Source organism: Homo sapiens, chromosome 6 (assembly GCF_000001405.40).
Source record: "Homo sapiens chromosome 6, GRCh38.p14 Primary Assembly".
NCBI classification, from domain to species: domain Eukaryota; kingdom Metazoa; phylum Chordata; class Mammalia; order Primates; family Hominidae; genus Homo; species Homo sapiens.
The window spans coordinates 3216495-3230956 of NC_000006.12; the positions used below are offsets into that span (position 1 = coordinate 3216495).

The 14462-nt window shown below is 49.4% G+C and overlaps 1 protein-coding gene across 1 annotated transcript, besides 4 other annotated features; it reads right to left on the reverse strand.

Annotated features, from left to right (window-relative positions):
* Positions 7783-11159, reverse strand: TUBB2B (tubulin beta 2B class IIb). Its single transcript, NM_178012.5, has 4 exons — positions 10993-11159; positions 10067-10175; positions 9665-9775; positions 7783-9317 (listed from the first exon to the last, which is right to left on the reverse strand). Exons 1-4 carry the CDS (start codon positions 11047-11049, stop codon positions 8257-8259), a joined length of 1338 nt encoding a protein of 445 aa, NP_821080.1. The 5' UTR covers positions 11050-11159; the 3' UTR covers positions 7783-8256.
* Positions 10142-10802: an enhancer, noted in NCBI's record as "H3K27ac hESC enhancer chr6:3226870-3227530 (GRCh37/hg19 assembly coordinates)". NCBI's record gives its function as "activates a minimal SCP1, AML or CMV promoter by ChIP-STARR-seq in naive H9 embryonic stem cells {active_cell/tissue: H9 hESC(naive)}" and the evidence as "EXISTENCE:reporter gene assay evidence [ECO:0000049][PMID:30033119]".
* Positions 10803-11461: an enhancer, noted in NCBI's record as "H3K27ac hESC enhancer chr6:3227531-3228189 (GRCh37/hg19 assembly coordinates)". NCBI's record gives its function as "activates a minimal SCP1, AML or CMV promoter by ChIP-STARR-seq in naive H9 embryonic stem cells {active_cell/tissue: H9 hESC(naive)}" and the evidence as "EXISTENCE:reporter gene assay evidence [ECO:0000049][PMID:30033119]".
* Positions 11066-11355: a silencer, noted in NCBI's record as "silent region_16849". NCBI's record gives its function as "represses an Ori minimal core promoter by ATAC-STARR-seq in GM12878 lymphoblastoid cells {active_cell/tissue: GM12878}" and the evidence as "EXISTENCE:reporter gene assay evidence [ECO:0000049][PMID:35858748]".
* Positions 12757-13313: an enhancer, noted in NCBI's record as "H3K27ac-H3K4me1 hESC enhancer chr6:3229485-3230041 (GRCh37/hg19 assembly coordinates)". NCBI's record gives its function as "activates a minimal SCP1, AML or CMV promoter by ChIP-STARR-seq in primed H9 embryonic stem cells {active_cell/tissue: H9 hESC(primed)}" and the evidence as "EXISTENCE:reporter gene assay evidence [ECO:0000049][PMID:30033119]".

Sequence of the window (14462 nt, forward strand, 5' to 3'; positions counted from 1 at the left end):
AAAGATTTCTCGAAAATGTTGGAGCCTTAACATGACTGTAAGAGCTGAGAGGCATTTGGGAAGAAATGAAGTGGGCTATTCTAGGGAGGGAGAATGGCATATGAAAAGATGACGGTGGGAGATGGGAAAGGAGGGTATTTGCAGTGGGAAAACAGGATTCATACAGAAAGTTTTCAGAGAGTATTAAGAGGTAAAGGGGCTGAGCGCGGTGGCTCACGCCTGTAATCTCGGCACTTTGGGAAGCTGAGGAGGGCGGATCACCGGAGGTCAGGAGTTCAAGACCAGTTTGGCCAATATGGTGAAACCCCGTCTCTACTAAAAATACAAAAATCAGCTGGGTGTGGTGGCAGGTGCCTGTAATCCCAGCTACTCAGGAGGCCGAGGCAGGAGATTCACTTGAACCTGGGAGGTAGAGGTTGCAGTGGGCAGAGATTGTGCCCTTGCACTCCAGGCTGGGCTAAAAGAGCGAGAATCCATCTCAAAAAAAAAAAAAAAAAAAAAAAAAAGAGGTAAAGGGGGTGTGCCAGGTAGCCAAGGGCCTTGAATTTAGCCTTAAGCCTGTGGGCAAGATGGAACCCCTGAAGACTGCTTATCTCTGAGTGAGCCTCACCCTCAGTGGCCACTCTGGCTATCCTCTTCCCTGGCTGTAATCATTTTTTGGTGTTATATTGCAAAGATCATGCACTCTGGAGTCAGAAACCTTGGGTTTCTCTCCAGGTTCTCCACTGAATGATTCTAGGGCAAGTTTCTTAGTCTAAGCCCAAGTTCTTTCAGGATCAGTTTCCTAAATTATGAGACTACTGATCACTTGGCCCTTCCTTATCCACCTCAGGGGAGGACACAGTATCCAGGCTAGTCAGTCACTGTCCCTCTTCCCCTGACCACAGGACTGATTCAGGGATGGGTACCTGACACAGTCCTTGCCAGTCTTTTTATATTTATTTTTTTGAGATAGGGTCTTGCTACGTTGCCCAGGCTGGCCTCGAACTCCTGGGCTCAAGTGATCCTCTTGCCTCAGCCTCCTGAGCAGCTGGGACTATAGGTACATGCCACCATGCCCAGCTATGGATTTTTCTCTAGCAATAGGGTGATACAGGCCTAAAGTTGCCACCATCTGGGGAGATCTTGCCAAAGAATAAAGACAAAACTGAGGACTACAAAGCCAAGAGAGTAATGAAGAAAGAGAAAGTTCTGATGACATCATTAGAGGCTCCCAGAACCTGAAAGAACTACCCGTGGACTTTTCAATTACATGAGCCAATGATTTCCCACCCTTACCGCTTTTGTAAGCAAGTTTTGAATTGATTTCAGGCACAATCAGAAGCACCCAAACTACACAGTATTCTTGTGAGGATTAAATTAGATAAACATGCAACAAACGGCACGTGTTCAACATATACTGACTATTATTACTTTCTTATCACTACATATCTTAATATCATTTTATCCCCTGTACAAGCAGATACAGAGAACTCTATTTTATAGAGGGATTTAGAGAGAGGAAGTAGCTTGTTAAAAGCTCCCAAAGTTAATAAATGACATAGTTGAGCTCTTTTTCCACCAGACGCTATGGACGATGGTAACATGCCTAGCACATAGCAGTCACTTGGTAAATGTGGATTCCTTTCCCCTTTCCTGCAAACCAAGATCCTCAAATCATGCCTGTCTACCTAGAGGTTCACACGAAAGCAGAAGTCGTAAGGATGCTTCTATACATTCTGCCTCCCTTAGGTATAGTTTGCTCTTCAGAGACTTATCTTTGAATGATCGGACCTGCTGAACGCTTGTATCTTCCCGTCTTAACCCCTCAAGGCTCGCCTCTCTCAGCTGTCCTTCCAGATTTTCAGCCACTTCTGAACATGGGCATCTAACATGTTCTGTGGCGCTGACTTTCCCTCCAGCCCTCAGACTTGCCTTAGTCCCTGTTGTCTGCCAGTTTTTCCCTGGACATCGTCCTCTGAGAGACCATGCAGTCCCATGGCCGCGCATGACCAGTATGCACCCAGGTGCGTCCTCTTCCCACACAATTCACCGAAGTAGTCTTGGTTCTTTTTCCTCAATGGTCAGTCATGCAAGTCACAGTGAACATATCTATTTTGGAAAAGCTCAGTGCATAACCCGATATAAACATTTCATTGTCTATCATAGAAAGGAATTTCCCTAAAAGTTCTGGGAGGGTAACTTTTTTCTTTTCACTTAAAAAATATAATGTAGTGGCACACAGCCTGGGCAGTGTAGCTTCACAACATCCTCAGTGTACCTGACAACTTCTGGGAAGTTGTCATCAGTTGACTAAAAGTTAGAAAGGGCTGGACATGGTGGCTCATGCCTGTAATCCCAGCACTTTGGGAGGCCGAGGTGGGTGGATCACCTGATGTCAAAAGTTTGAGACCACCCTGGCCAACATGGTGAAACCCCATCTCAACTAAAAATACAAAAAATTAGCTGGGCGTGGTGGTGGGTGCCTGTAATCCCAGCCACTTGGGAGGCTGAGGCAGGAGAATTGCTTGAACCTGGGAGGCGGAGGTTGCAGTGAGCAGAGATCGCACCATTGCACTCCAGCCTGGATGACAAGAGCGAGACTCCATCTCAAAGAAAAAAAAAAAAAAGGTTAGAAAGACCTAAATGTAAGGAGAGTAAACATTTTGATTCAGAAATTCAGACCAAGAAATCTTTCATTTAGTCTTTGGCTGTTTTAGAAAATGAGGGCTCCTTGAGCATGAAACACTGCAATCTTACATTTACAAAGAGCACTGGAGGACGTGCTAAGAGAGTGGGTTAGTGTCACTTCTTAGCCACTGTCTGTTTATAGACGAAACTGCTGCTTACCTGTCCAGTGCCCATTCTCTGCTTCCTAACAGAACCTTTAAATTGTTGGGGAGATCATGTACCCAGCTCAAAGATTATCTTGCTCAGTCAGCTTGTGGGAAAGGTGGGGCCAAGGAAATGCAAGCAGAAGTCATTGAGGGGATCGTGGCACAGATCTGCAGAGATGGCTGTCTCAGCTGGAAGGTGACTTTTTACCCACCCAGTTCTTCCCCTGTCTTACCTGGAACCAGGTACCATGATCAGAGCTGCAGTGGCCATCCTGCAGCAGGAGAACTTGAGGGTGGTAGCCACTGGTGGTGTTCAGAAGAGCAGAAAGAGAAGAGTCGGGTACACTGAGGATGTTGTGAAGCTACACTGCCCGGGCTGTGTGCCACTACATTATATTTTTTAAGTGAGAGGAAAAAATAACCCATTGCCATTGTTGCTTGCAGCTGAACATCGGTCCTAACTGATGCAGTGACCTGGAAACATTGCTTAATTGGGACCGTGGTTTCCTCATTTGTGAACTGATGAGGGTTATATCAGAAGATCTCTAAAGTTCTCTCTGTTTCTAAAACCTTATGATTCTAAGACTCTGTATAAATACATAAGTACAACATGCTTGCCTGATCTCTATTCCATCTTGGCCTTCTGGGCAAATCTGAAAGTGAGTGTGTGTATTGTTAGCTGGAAATCAAAATGACTATGAACGTAGAATTGCCATATGACCCAGAAATTCCACTCCTAGGCGAAATGAATGGAAAACACACGCACAGACAGACACATATTTATAGCAGCGTTACCCTTTTTTTCTGAGATGGGGTCTGGCTCTGTTGCCCAGGCTGGGCTGCAGTGATGGGATCATGGCTCACTGCAGCCTCAACCACCCAGGCTCAAGTGATTCTCCCACCTCAGCCTCCCAAGTAGCTGGGACCACAGGCACGTGACACCACACCTGGTGAATTTTTTTAAAAATTATTTTTTGTAGAGACACGGGCCTCCCTATGTTATCCAGGCTGATCTCAAACTCCTGGGCTCAAGTGATCCTCCTGCCTTGGCCTCCCAAAGTGCTGGGATTACAGGCATGCACCACTGCGCCCAGCTGCAGCATTATTCTTAAGAGTGAAAGAGTGGAAACTACCCAAATATCCATCAACAGAAGAATGAGTAAACAAAACATGGTCTATCCATACAATGGCATATTATTCAACCATAACAGAATGAAGTATTGATACATGCTACAACAGGGATGACCCTTGAAAACATATGCTAAGAAAAAAAAAAGCCCAGCCAGACACAAAGGACCACAAATAGAATGCCTTCATTTATATGAAATGTCCAGAATAGGCAAACCCATAAAGACAGAAACAGTAGTGATTTCCTGGGCTTGGAGTGGTAGGGAAGACTGGGGAGAGGGGTATGGGGGGTGACCGACAATAGGCATGGAGTTTCTTTTTTTGGGTGATGAAAATATTCTGGAATTAGATGGTGATGATAGCTGCACATTTCTGTGAATATACTAAAACCCCCGACTTACGGTCTTTTAAGTGGTGAATTTTATGGTAGGCAAATTTTATCTCAATTAAAAGACAAAAAAATGACTGTGAAATATTTTGAGTGAAATAGAATGCACCAAATTAAGCTTCTTTGGCTGTGTGTTGACAAGCACACCTGCAGAGAAACACGAGGGGTGGGGAGGCAGGAAGGCAGGGTGGTTAAAAAACAAAGGTATGGAAGAGTCTTTTCAAGGGAATGGCTCAACTTTGAAGTGCATTTAGAAAAGCATGACCTCTCAATAGGACATCTTTTACACACCAGAAAGAAATTAGCCTTATAGCAGTTTGCCAAGCCACATCTTAACTAAAATGGGGATTTGAAAAAAGGGCCACTCCTGTCCTCCTTAACTTCCTACTTTTTTTCACAATAGCTAAACCCTGGTAGAATATTCCCTTTTCAACCGTGTTTGTATTAGAGCATTGTGTATGTGGTGTTTTAAAACCAGGCAATTCAACATCACCTGTCAGTGACCTCATTACAGACAAAAGGCTGGTACTATGTCTGTGGCCAACCCATCTGGAAACGTTGAGTGGGACCTAGGCACACGTTCAGGTTTTCCTTGATGCCAGGGAACTCATCTTTCCCTTCTTCATGATCCTCACGTGGCTTTGTATACAACAGAACCTGAGCCATGCAGCTGCAGTGAAGTCAGCACTGGGTGTAAGACCCAATTTGTACAGAAAGTGTTCTGGGATCTTAGATAATTCTCTGATCCTCAGTTTCCCTACTTACATACCAAGGAGGGCAAATGAGATGATCTCTTAAGGTAATTTTTGTTCAAATTGCTATCAATCTAATATCAATCACTTTTGGTGATACAATGGAAAATCTACCGTAGTCTTAGATCATCCCTGAGGCTGATGCAGAGGAGCAGGCCAACTTAGAGCGCACTGAGGTTTTAGTTCCTTCTCAGACTCTCTGGATGATCTCAGGGTGACTTCAGCTCCCCTCCCCAAACCCCAGTCTCTGAATCATGCATCACATCTCAGTGGCTCTTGTAATTTGGATATTGTGTCTGCTTGGAAGTAAATATCCTCCTCAGGGCACGTCAAGGAGGGATAAAACATTTCTTTCGGGAAGTGTTGAAAACAGACACACACCACCACTACCACCATCACCACATCACCACCACCACCACACTACCACCACCACCACCATCACCACTACTACCATCACCACTACTACCACCACCACCATCACAATCACCACTATCACCATCATCACCATCACTACCACCACCACCATCACCACCACCACCACTATCACCACCACCACCACCATCACCACCACCACCACCACCACCACCACACTACCACATCACCACCACCACCACCATTACCACCACCACCACCACCACTATCACCATCATCACCATCACCACCATCACCACCACCACTACCACTACCACCAACACAATCACCACCACGATCACCATCATCACCACCACCACCACCATCAGCACCACCAAATCCCATCACATAAAGGTCATGTAACAAATGAAACTAATGATTCCAAAATAGTATCTTCATCCAGGAATTAGTCTGAGCATTTTCCTCATTTTGAACTTTTTTAAATGTATGCATTTAAAATCTGTATTAGGCCCCAGAAGATCTGCTTGGCAGGTCAGTTTGGCACCAACTATTCTAACCATGCCAAAATAAGCTTTAGCATTCCATACGTGGTTGTACTGACAGGCTAGCAAGCTGGCCTACTGGTGCCTGCCTGTCCCCTTCTCACCAGGTGGAAGAGAAGTACCACACGTCCAGTATGCCAAGAGGCTCTTGGATACAATCCCACTAGTCTCCGAGGGTACTGAACGCATGCCTGACAGGTTGTAGGGAATGCATGCCCAAGGATAGATCCAGGGGACCTTGGCAGCTGCCCCAGGTGTTTGGGGCATTTAAAGCTAATGCCACCCTTCAATTCAGTTGTTGGAAGCTTTACACCAGCTCAGCAGGAATCACATCTGCCAGTCTGCAGCTAAATATAGAAAACTGAGCTGAAGCCACTGGCTCCAGACACCTGTCTGACCCTACTCATCACTCAGTCAAGTTTTAGAGGTATATAATGCTTGGTAAAGTGAATTGTGCTCTTTTCCATTTATGGGAGCCATGTGGCAGAATTAACTTATTTTCACACTATTTGGAATTATACTGCTTATGGTTTTCTTTGGAACTATTTTCAAATATATTTCAGCCTTTTAAATAATGGAAATCTTGTATCTACACTTTTCTTTCTTTTTTTAACATTTAAGTAAGTGTAGGACCAAGCAGAATAAAATAAATATAAGGTCAGGTTTAAGGTCATATTTTTTCTAATTTTGAGTTTGTGTGAAAACTAGAAAAATCTTAAACCTGGTTTTCATGATCCTTTCTTTCTATAGGGGTGTGTAAATAAGTTTTGTACCTTTGCTTATAACTCACACTCTTTTTCTCTTCTCAAAATGAGAAACTAGCTCAGATTAAAGCAGAGTATCAGCAGTATTTTGACAAGGTATAATTTATCCCATAGGAACATCTTAACTGAAAATCCATTATTGAAATCCTATAGCTTCTTTAGTGGTTGAGTTCAAGTCCAGAGTCAGACTTGGGTTCAAATCCCAAATCCTATTTCTGCATGGAAAAAAAAATGCAATAGGCTGAAAATTATTCTGGATTGCCTACTTAAAGTAAAATTCCCCAACAATGCAGAATTTATAATTCCATCTAAACTCAAATGATGTTAAAAATAAGTACAAATAGTTTGTAATATAGTATAAATATGATTGCCTGGAGAAAAAGTTGCTTGAGAATTGAGAATGAGCCTATTCACTGTTTATAACTCTATAGCTATTCCTAAGTGCAGGTGATATAACTTAAAAAGGCACATGCCTTTGACAAAAAATTCCATTTGTGGAAATTTACAGGATAACTATTCTCATATGCACACTAATAAATGAACAAAATTATTCATTGTGACACTATGCTGTAAGTATAAACCTTAATGACCATTGGTAGGGAATTGGCTAAATAAAACATAGCACAACTATATAATGGACGCTACATATCCATTTAAAGGAGGGAAGCTCTCTGTAGGTTCAAGATACACTGTTTAGTGAAGAAGGCTGCAGAATTGTGTTAGTATCACATCATGTGTGTGAAGAAAGAGAAAAAGGAAATATCCTACATGGGTTTGAAAATATATGGAGTATTTCTGCAAGGAAGTAAGAAAGATAACCGTGATTAGGATGGTTTCCCTCCAGGGAGGAAACTGCATCAAGGAACACAGGAAAAAGACACACTCACTTTCCACTCTTCAGAATTTTGTGCTGTGAGTATGTAGGAACTATTCCAAAAATGCTTTTTTTTTTTTTGTAAAGGAGATAAAAGCATAGTAGGAATTGCACATGAAGACACACACTGTGCTTTCAAGTAGACATTTTTTCAACTAATATTTATTAAAGGTATTTTAAAACTCAGGTTGATCTCTCATCTTAACTGTGATTGGTTCAATTTTACCATACCGAAAGAATAAATTCATTTGAGCTTTTACCTACGCCTTTGCTTTTTGTTAAAGGAAGAATTCAATGCAATGTGTTCAGAAAGTTACATTTAAATCGTTAATAAAGAGAAAAAGGAAGAGAAAGAGAGGACACCATTCCGACACAAACGTTTATGTGATTTTAGCCATTACAACAGTAATTCAGAAATATCTCAAATGTTACATTGATGTCATCAATATTACAAAAAAGGAAAAAAAAAGTGACAGGCAACAGTGAAGAGCACCAGAGACCCAGCGCACACCTAAAGTAGACCATGCTTCTTTCCTTCCACTGCCAGGTTATCGTCCCGGGAAGCCCCCCACCCCCTCGCTTTCCTCCTCCGCTTTCCCTAACCCGTCTCGCGGGGGCATCTACGCCTCGTCCTCGCCCTCCTCCTCCTCGAACTCCCCTTGTTCGTCGGCCGTGGCGTCCTGGTACTGCTGGTACTCGGACACCAGGTCGTTCATGTTGCTCTCGGCCTCGGTGAACTCCATCTCGTCCATGCCCTCGCCCGTGTACCAGTGCAGGAAGGCCTTGCGCCGGAACATGGCCGTGAACTGCTCGGAGATGCGCTTGAACAGCTCCTGGATGGCCGTGCTGTTGCCGATGAAGGTGGCCGACATCTTCAGGCCGCGGGGCGGGATGTCGCACACGGCCGTCTTCACGTTGTTGGGGATCCACTCCACGAAGTAGCTGCTGTTCTTGTTCTGCACGTTGAGCATCTGCTCGTCCACCTCCTTCATGGACATGCGGCCCCGGAAGATGGCAGCCACCGTCAGGTAGCGGCCGTGGCGCGGGTCGCAGGCGGCCATCATGTTCTTGGAGTCGAACATCTGCTGGGTGAGCTCGGGCACCGTGAGCGCCCGGTACTGCTGGCTGCCCCGGCTGGTCAGGGGCGCGAAGCCGGGCATGAAGAAGTGCAGGCGAGGGAAGGGCACCATGTTCACCGCCAGCTTGCGCAGGTCTGCGTTCAGCTGGCCCGGGAAGCGCAGGCAGGTGGTGACCCCGCTCATGGTGGCCGACACCAGGTGGTTGAGGTCCCCGTAGGTGGGGGTGGTCAGCTTCAGGGTGCGGAAGCAGATGTCATACAGGGCCTCGTTGTCAATGCAGTAGGTTTCATCTGTGTTTTCCACCAGCTGGTGGACCGAGAGGGTGGCGTTGTAGGGCTCCACCACCGTGTCTGACACCTTGGGTGAGGGCATGACGCTGAAGGTGTTCATGATGCGGTCTGGGTACTCTTCCCGGATCTTGCTGATGAGCAGGGTGCCCATCCCGGACCCCGTGCCGCCCCCCAGAGAGTGGGTCAGCTGGAAGCCCTGGAGACAGTCACAGCTCTCTGACTCCTTCCTCACCACATCCAGGACCGAGTCGACCAGCTCGGCTCCCTCTGTGTAGTGGCCCTTGGCCCAGTTATTCCCGGCTCCACTCTGGCCTGCCAGAGGGAAAGAGAAATCTTAAGTCACCGGTGATTGTACTAAATACCTTACCTCAAACCCCTCAATATAGATCAGTGAGTCAATGCTCAGATAAGACTATTTCAGATTATCACCAAAATGGCCAAACGTTAAAATATTTGTTCATGAATATAATTATAAATAAGGAAGGCCAGGACACCAAGCTCTTAGCAGCTGAAAGGCAAACAATTTTACACTATATTAAAGCTAAGTTGGCACACCGCGGATGTTCTTCATGCTTTCCCTCTGGCAATCACACCTCTTCAGCCTCCACTGCCCAGCGTAAAATGAATCCCTCATGCTCTCAGCCACACCAGGCACTCACCAAACACGAAATTGTCTGGTCTGAAGATCTGGCCGAATGGTCCAGACCTAACCGAATCCATCGTGCCTGGCTCCAGATCCACGAGGATGGCCCGAGGAACATATTTGTTACCTGCAAGGAACAACAGTGACTTAGACCCTCAGGCAAGGACCTCTGCAGAGAAGGGCTTGGCGCCTGCTGCCATCATGCAGATGTTGCCCCAAACAAAGGGAGACCCACCATCAGGTTCTCAAAGGGCTCTGTTGGCATAAGGAAGCCCAATGAAATACTGCAGGGAAAGAGCGGGGATCCTAAACTGAATAGTCCACCCTCTCCCAGGGCCACACCCCTGGGGTCCCACGCAAGGGAAAGGGGAGAAGGTGGAAAAACTGAAGGGAGTGGGGGTGGGGCAAGGGTGATTACCAGTGGCTTCATTGTAGTAAACATTGATTCTCTCCAGCTGCAAATCACTGTCTCCATGGTAACTGCCAGTGGGGTCAATCCCATGCTCATCACTGATGACCTCCCAAAACTGAGACAGAAAGGCTGCATTTAGCCATGAACGATGCCCCCAGAAACGCCAAGGCTCACAATGAAATGTCCCCGACTCAGTTCCGACAACCCAACATTTCAGGAGCTTGAAGCTTTAAAGGGCGTCGTGACCCGGGCACAGCCGCGGGGCTTGTATTTTGCAGGTTCAGAAAGTTGAAACTGGGCGTTTCCCAGGCAAACAGCTGCCGCTCGCGGGGGGAGGTAGGGGTCGAGGGGGTAAGGACCAGCCAAAGCCGGGCAGTGGCGGAGCTTGGCGCACTGGTCGCAGCCCCAGGCTGCGGCAGGAGGCGAGGGCACAGGGACTGCAGCCCGCCAGGAGCGGGTGGGCGGGGAAAGAGGAACGCAAAGGAGCTAAAGGACCGCGGTTTTAGATTCAAAGCACGTCCTGAGACCGCAAGACAATCGCTCTCCTCCCCTCCCCCGGCAGCTCGACTCCGGTTCAAGCGAGTACAATTAATCCTCCTGGTGTCCCAGCCCCTCGCGCGGAGCGCCGCGCACAGCCTCGCGGACACACCCTCGTCTTCTCCAGGCACGCGTGCCTGCCAAGCAGCCAGCGCGGAGGGAGGCCGAGGGGGTGACGGGGACTCCAAATGAGTTACAGCAGAAAGAAAGAGAGGTGCCCCCTCCGTCCGCGAAAGTCACCTCCTAGCCCAGGCCACACTCGGCGGCACAAAGCGGCCAGGAAGGTCTGCATTTGGCGATCCCCAGGCCTTCCCAGGACCGCGCCTGGGGACCCCGAGGGGCTCTCGGCCCAGGTTCGCGCCCCCATTGGACCCCCTCCGCTGCGGCGCGCCCACCTTGGCGCCGATCTGGTTGCCGCACTGGCCCGCCTGGATGTGCACGATCTCACGCATGGTGCCTCGTCAGCGTCCTCCTGGTCCGGCGGCGTCTGGGTCTGTCCGTCCTCCCCTCACACACCCACTGCGGGGTCACCGGGAAGGCGCTCGGGAACCGACGGGCTGAGAGCGCCGGCCCCGCGGGCTCCGGCTTTTATGCAAGGAGGGTGGGGCGGCCGGCACAGGCCGCGCCCCCAGCCCGAGCCCCCCAGTCCCCTTCGCGCTGGCGCTCTCCAGGCCCGGCTGACGTAATGCTCCGAGCCCTAGGGACCGTCCGGGGGGCTGGACCACCGGCCCGCGGCCAATCAGAGCGGGCGTGCCGACCGGGAGAGGGGTGGGGGCTACCGGGAGTATGGTGGGGGCGTGCGCATTGTCTGGGGCTGTGGTGGGGGTCTGGGTATGGGGATATGGGGGAACAGTGAAGAAAAGGAGGGTGAGAGGGCGGCGAGGCGAGGGCCACCAGCGCGTCCTGACCGGGGTGGGGGCAGAGCTGGCACCGGATGGGAACGATGGAGGACTGGAGCATGTGGAGAAGCCGTCAGGTGCTCCAGTGCCGGCAGGTGGGAGGGCTGAGGTGGCACAGGCTGCTCCGCCACCTCGGACTGCGGCTCCTACTCGGCCACTGGCCAGAGTCCCTCCAGCCAACTGCCCCTGGTGAGACCACCGTCTTTTTCCTCAACCCTGGAGGCCAGCGACTGCCCAGGCGGCGCTCCGTCTCACAGAGGCCTGGGGGAGGACAGGTGGCCCCAGAAGGAAGTCGTGCTTGATGGCAACCGGGACACCTGCGGCCCATGAACACCAGCGCGGCCTCCGCCCCCGCCCCAGCGTGGGCCTGCTTTCTCCTTTGTCTGTCTTGGGCTGGTAGCTCCTCTCACTGCGCCGCAGCATCTAGGGGTGAAGCGACCTCGGAGCCCCTCAGCCCTGCCCGACCCTCTCCGGGAGTGCATAACGCCCCTGCTGGTACCCAGGAGCCCTCTGCCCCGGGGGTTGACTTTTGTTGCTCGCTAGTGATGGAGTGGGAGTGGCCGGTGGCGCTGCACTGACCGTCCGGAGGGCAGAAAGAGGGTGGGGTCCCGGGGGCGGGGCTGTCGGCGGAACAAAGGGCTCTCAGAAACGTGGGATACGCTGTGTAACCCAGTATTTAAAACCACACGACAGGCGCCCCACCCCCCCACCCCGCCCTCGGATTCAGTTCATCTATTGTCAAGTAAGAGGGTGGGTTCCAAGGGTGGCCCAAGCCCGAGTAACAAACTTTCTTATCTTCCATCGCGGCGACCTGGAGGTCCGAGGCTTCGTGCTGCGGTTGAAGGGTGGGGAATACGACTAAAAACTGCAGCCCAGCGCGCGCGAGACGACCCAAGACCCACGCGCACTCGCACGAGCGCGTGCACAGACTTGGAGCACAGACCCTCCCTTCAGATCCGCAGTCTCTAGGTACTGAGGCAGGAACTGGTCTCTTTGTTACTTTTCGCGCGCGCGTGTGTGTGTGTGTGTGTGAGAGAGAGAGAGAAAGAGAGAGAGAGAGAGACTAATCCTGCGTGCGTTTGAGGGCGGGAGGGGAAAGGGTGTCAGAAACGTTCACTGCACAACCTGTTCCCTGCAATTCGATGACTGAAGCGCGCCGCCCCACACTTCGGAAGGGCCGTTGGCGAGGTGACGTGACCTCTTTCATCCCCTGGCGAGAAAGGCCGAATGACCCGGGCGCACGCGGCGGAGCTCAGCCTGCAGCTGTTGAGCGAGACCCTCCCAGAACTATCAGCAAGCTGTCATCGCCTCCCTTTCCCGCTGTGGGGTGGAGGGTGGGGGGTTCAAGTCGATTCCAATGTACAAAGAGAAGTAGCGAGAACAAAAGCCCAGGCGCCCCCAAACATCCAGGGCGCCCAGACTGGAGCTCGCCGGCCGGTATTCCAGACCCGGCCGGCGTGCCCGGGTGAGGGTGGGGTCTACCGAGAGGCAGAGAGCAGCGGAGGGTCTGTCCACATGCCCTGCTCTCCCGGTACCAAGGTCTCGGGGCCTGACCTCCGAGTTTCTAATCCAGATCCTGCAGATGCCGAAACGTCGAGGGCTAGCAATTCCCAAGGTCATACAGCAAGTTGAGGACAGGGCTCGGACTGGAATCTCGTCTTTTGGGCACACCAGACCTCAGGGAAAGTGACCGCATCTCGGCCAAAAGGGCTGTGGCAGGTGTCAGCCTCGAGGTGGCGGCTCTGGTGGGACCAAGCTGCGCCGGAAGGAACAGAGCTAGGGCGGCACCCGCGCGGCGAGTGTAGACACACTCGGAGCGGTCACCCCCTCGCTGCGAGCTCCCAGGAGCAACCCTGATGCTCAGCGCTGGGGGGTGGGGTTGGGGGCCGCTCAGCTCCATGCTGAGTAACTTGAGCTGGCCGCCTGCCTCCTTCATCTAACCAATTCATTTCTCAGCTTCTGTTTCCGAGCCAAATCTCCATTCAGTGCCCGGGTGAAAACGCGTGTTCAAGATCATATAGATAGATGAAAAGACCCTTTCCTCTCAGGTTTCTTTTAAAGGGGTTGGTTTGGGATAGGATGAGGCTGGAAATCATCCTTCTGAAAGCCCAGAGTGCCCTTGGGGACACTTTTGGCCCAAGATCTGCTTTCCTTTCAAGCATTTTGCTCGAATTGTCCCCACACCCCTGCCCCTTCCGGGCAGCCAGTCTTGTTAACCGGTCTACATCGCACCCCCACCCCCACCCCCACTGGAATTGTGATGCTGCACATTTTTATTTTCACAAGGAGCCGATTTTGTGTTAAAATGTTGACAACAGCCACACCTTTCCCTGAAGTCTTTCAGTTTATCTGATAACCCTTAAACAAAAAAATCATTCTTAATCCATGTAGCTCGCATAAAGAGACTGGTACCCGGCTTTCAAAGAAAAAAAAAGTCGTTTTCAGTTGGGTCCCCAGCATTTCTGTCTATTCATTATATGCAATGCGTCTCAATCTAGGTCATCGTATATCAGGCACGAAGATTTCGGGGCAACATATTTCATGATCTCTTAATGTTAGTCTTGATGATGTACTAACATTTAAAAATTTTCCCTTCCAGAGACAATTGTAGAAATATTGCTGCATAAAATACAATTCAACATTTGTTTTATACGTAATCTATTGCGTGACTGAGGTGAGCAAGATATCCCTTAAACTATTAAAATTATATTTGCTTTCACAATTTTCAGATTACTTTCAACGGCATGTCCTCAAGTGAATTTGCATTTCTCTATTACACACACAGTCATTGTTTGAAGAAGTCTGATAGAAAAGAGGCTTTATATAGTAGTAAATTTTTAAAGCACTGTTTTCATAATGTAGCATATATTTTTGACACATTTATTGAAATTACTAGACATTTAGCATTAGGGTTCTTCACTGCTTGCCAGGATTCACCGCTTAAAACCCCAAAAACCCAGCCCGCA

What these genes read in the sequence shown, in the direction of transcription:
- TUBB2B (NM_178012.5), bottom strand. Translation starts at nt 11,049, where the DNA reads ATGCGTGAGATCGTGCACATCCAGGCGGGCCAGTGCGGCAACCAGATC. An exon ending in GCAACCAGATCGGCGCCAAG is followed by an intron (nt 10,176 to 10,992) that starts GTGGGCGCGCCG and finishes TTTCTGTCTCAG; the next exon opens with TTTTGGGAGGTCATCAGTGA. An exon ending in TTACTACAATGAAGCCACTG is followed by an intron (nt 9,776 to 10,066) that starts GTAATCACCCTT and finishes TGTTCCTTGCAG; the next exon opens with GTAACAAATATGTTCCTCGG.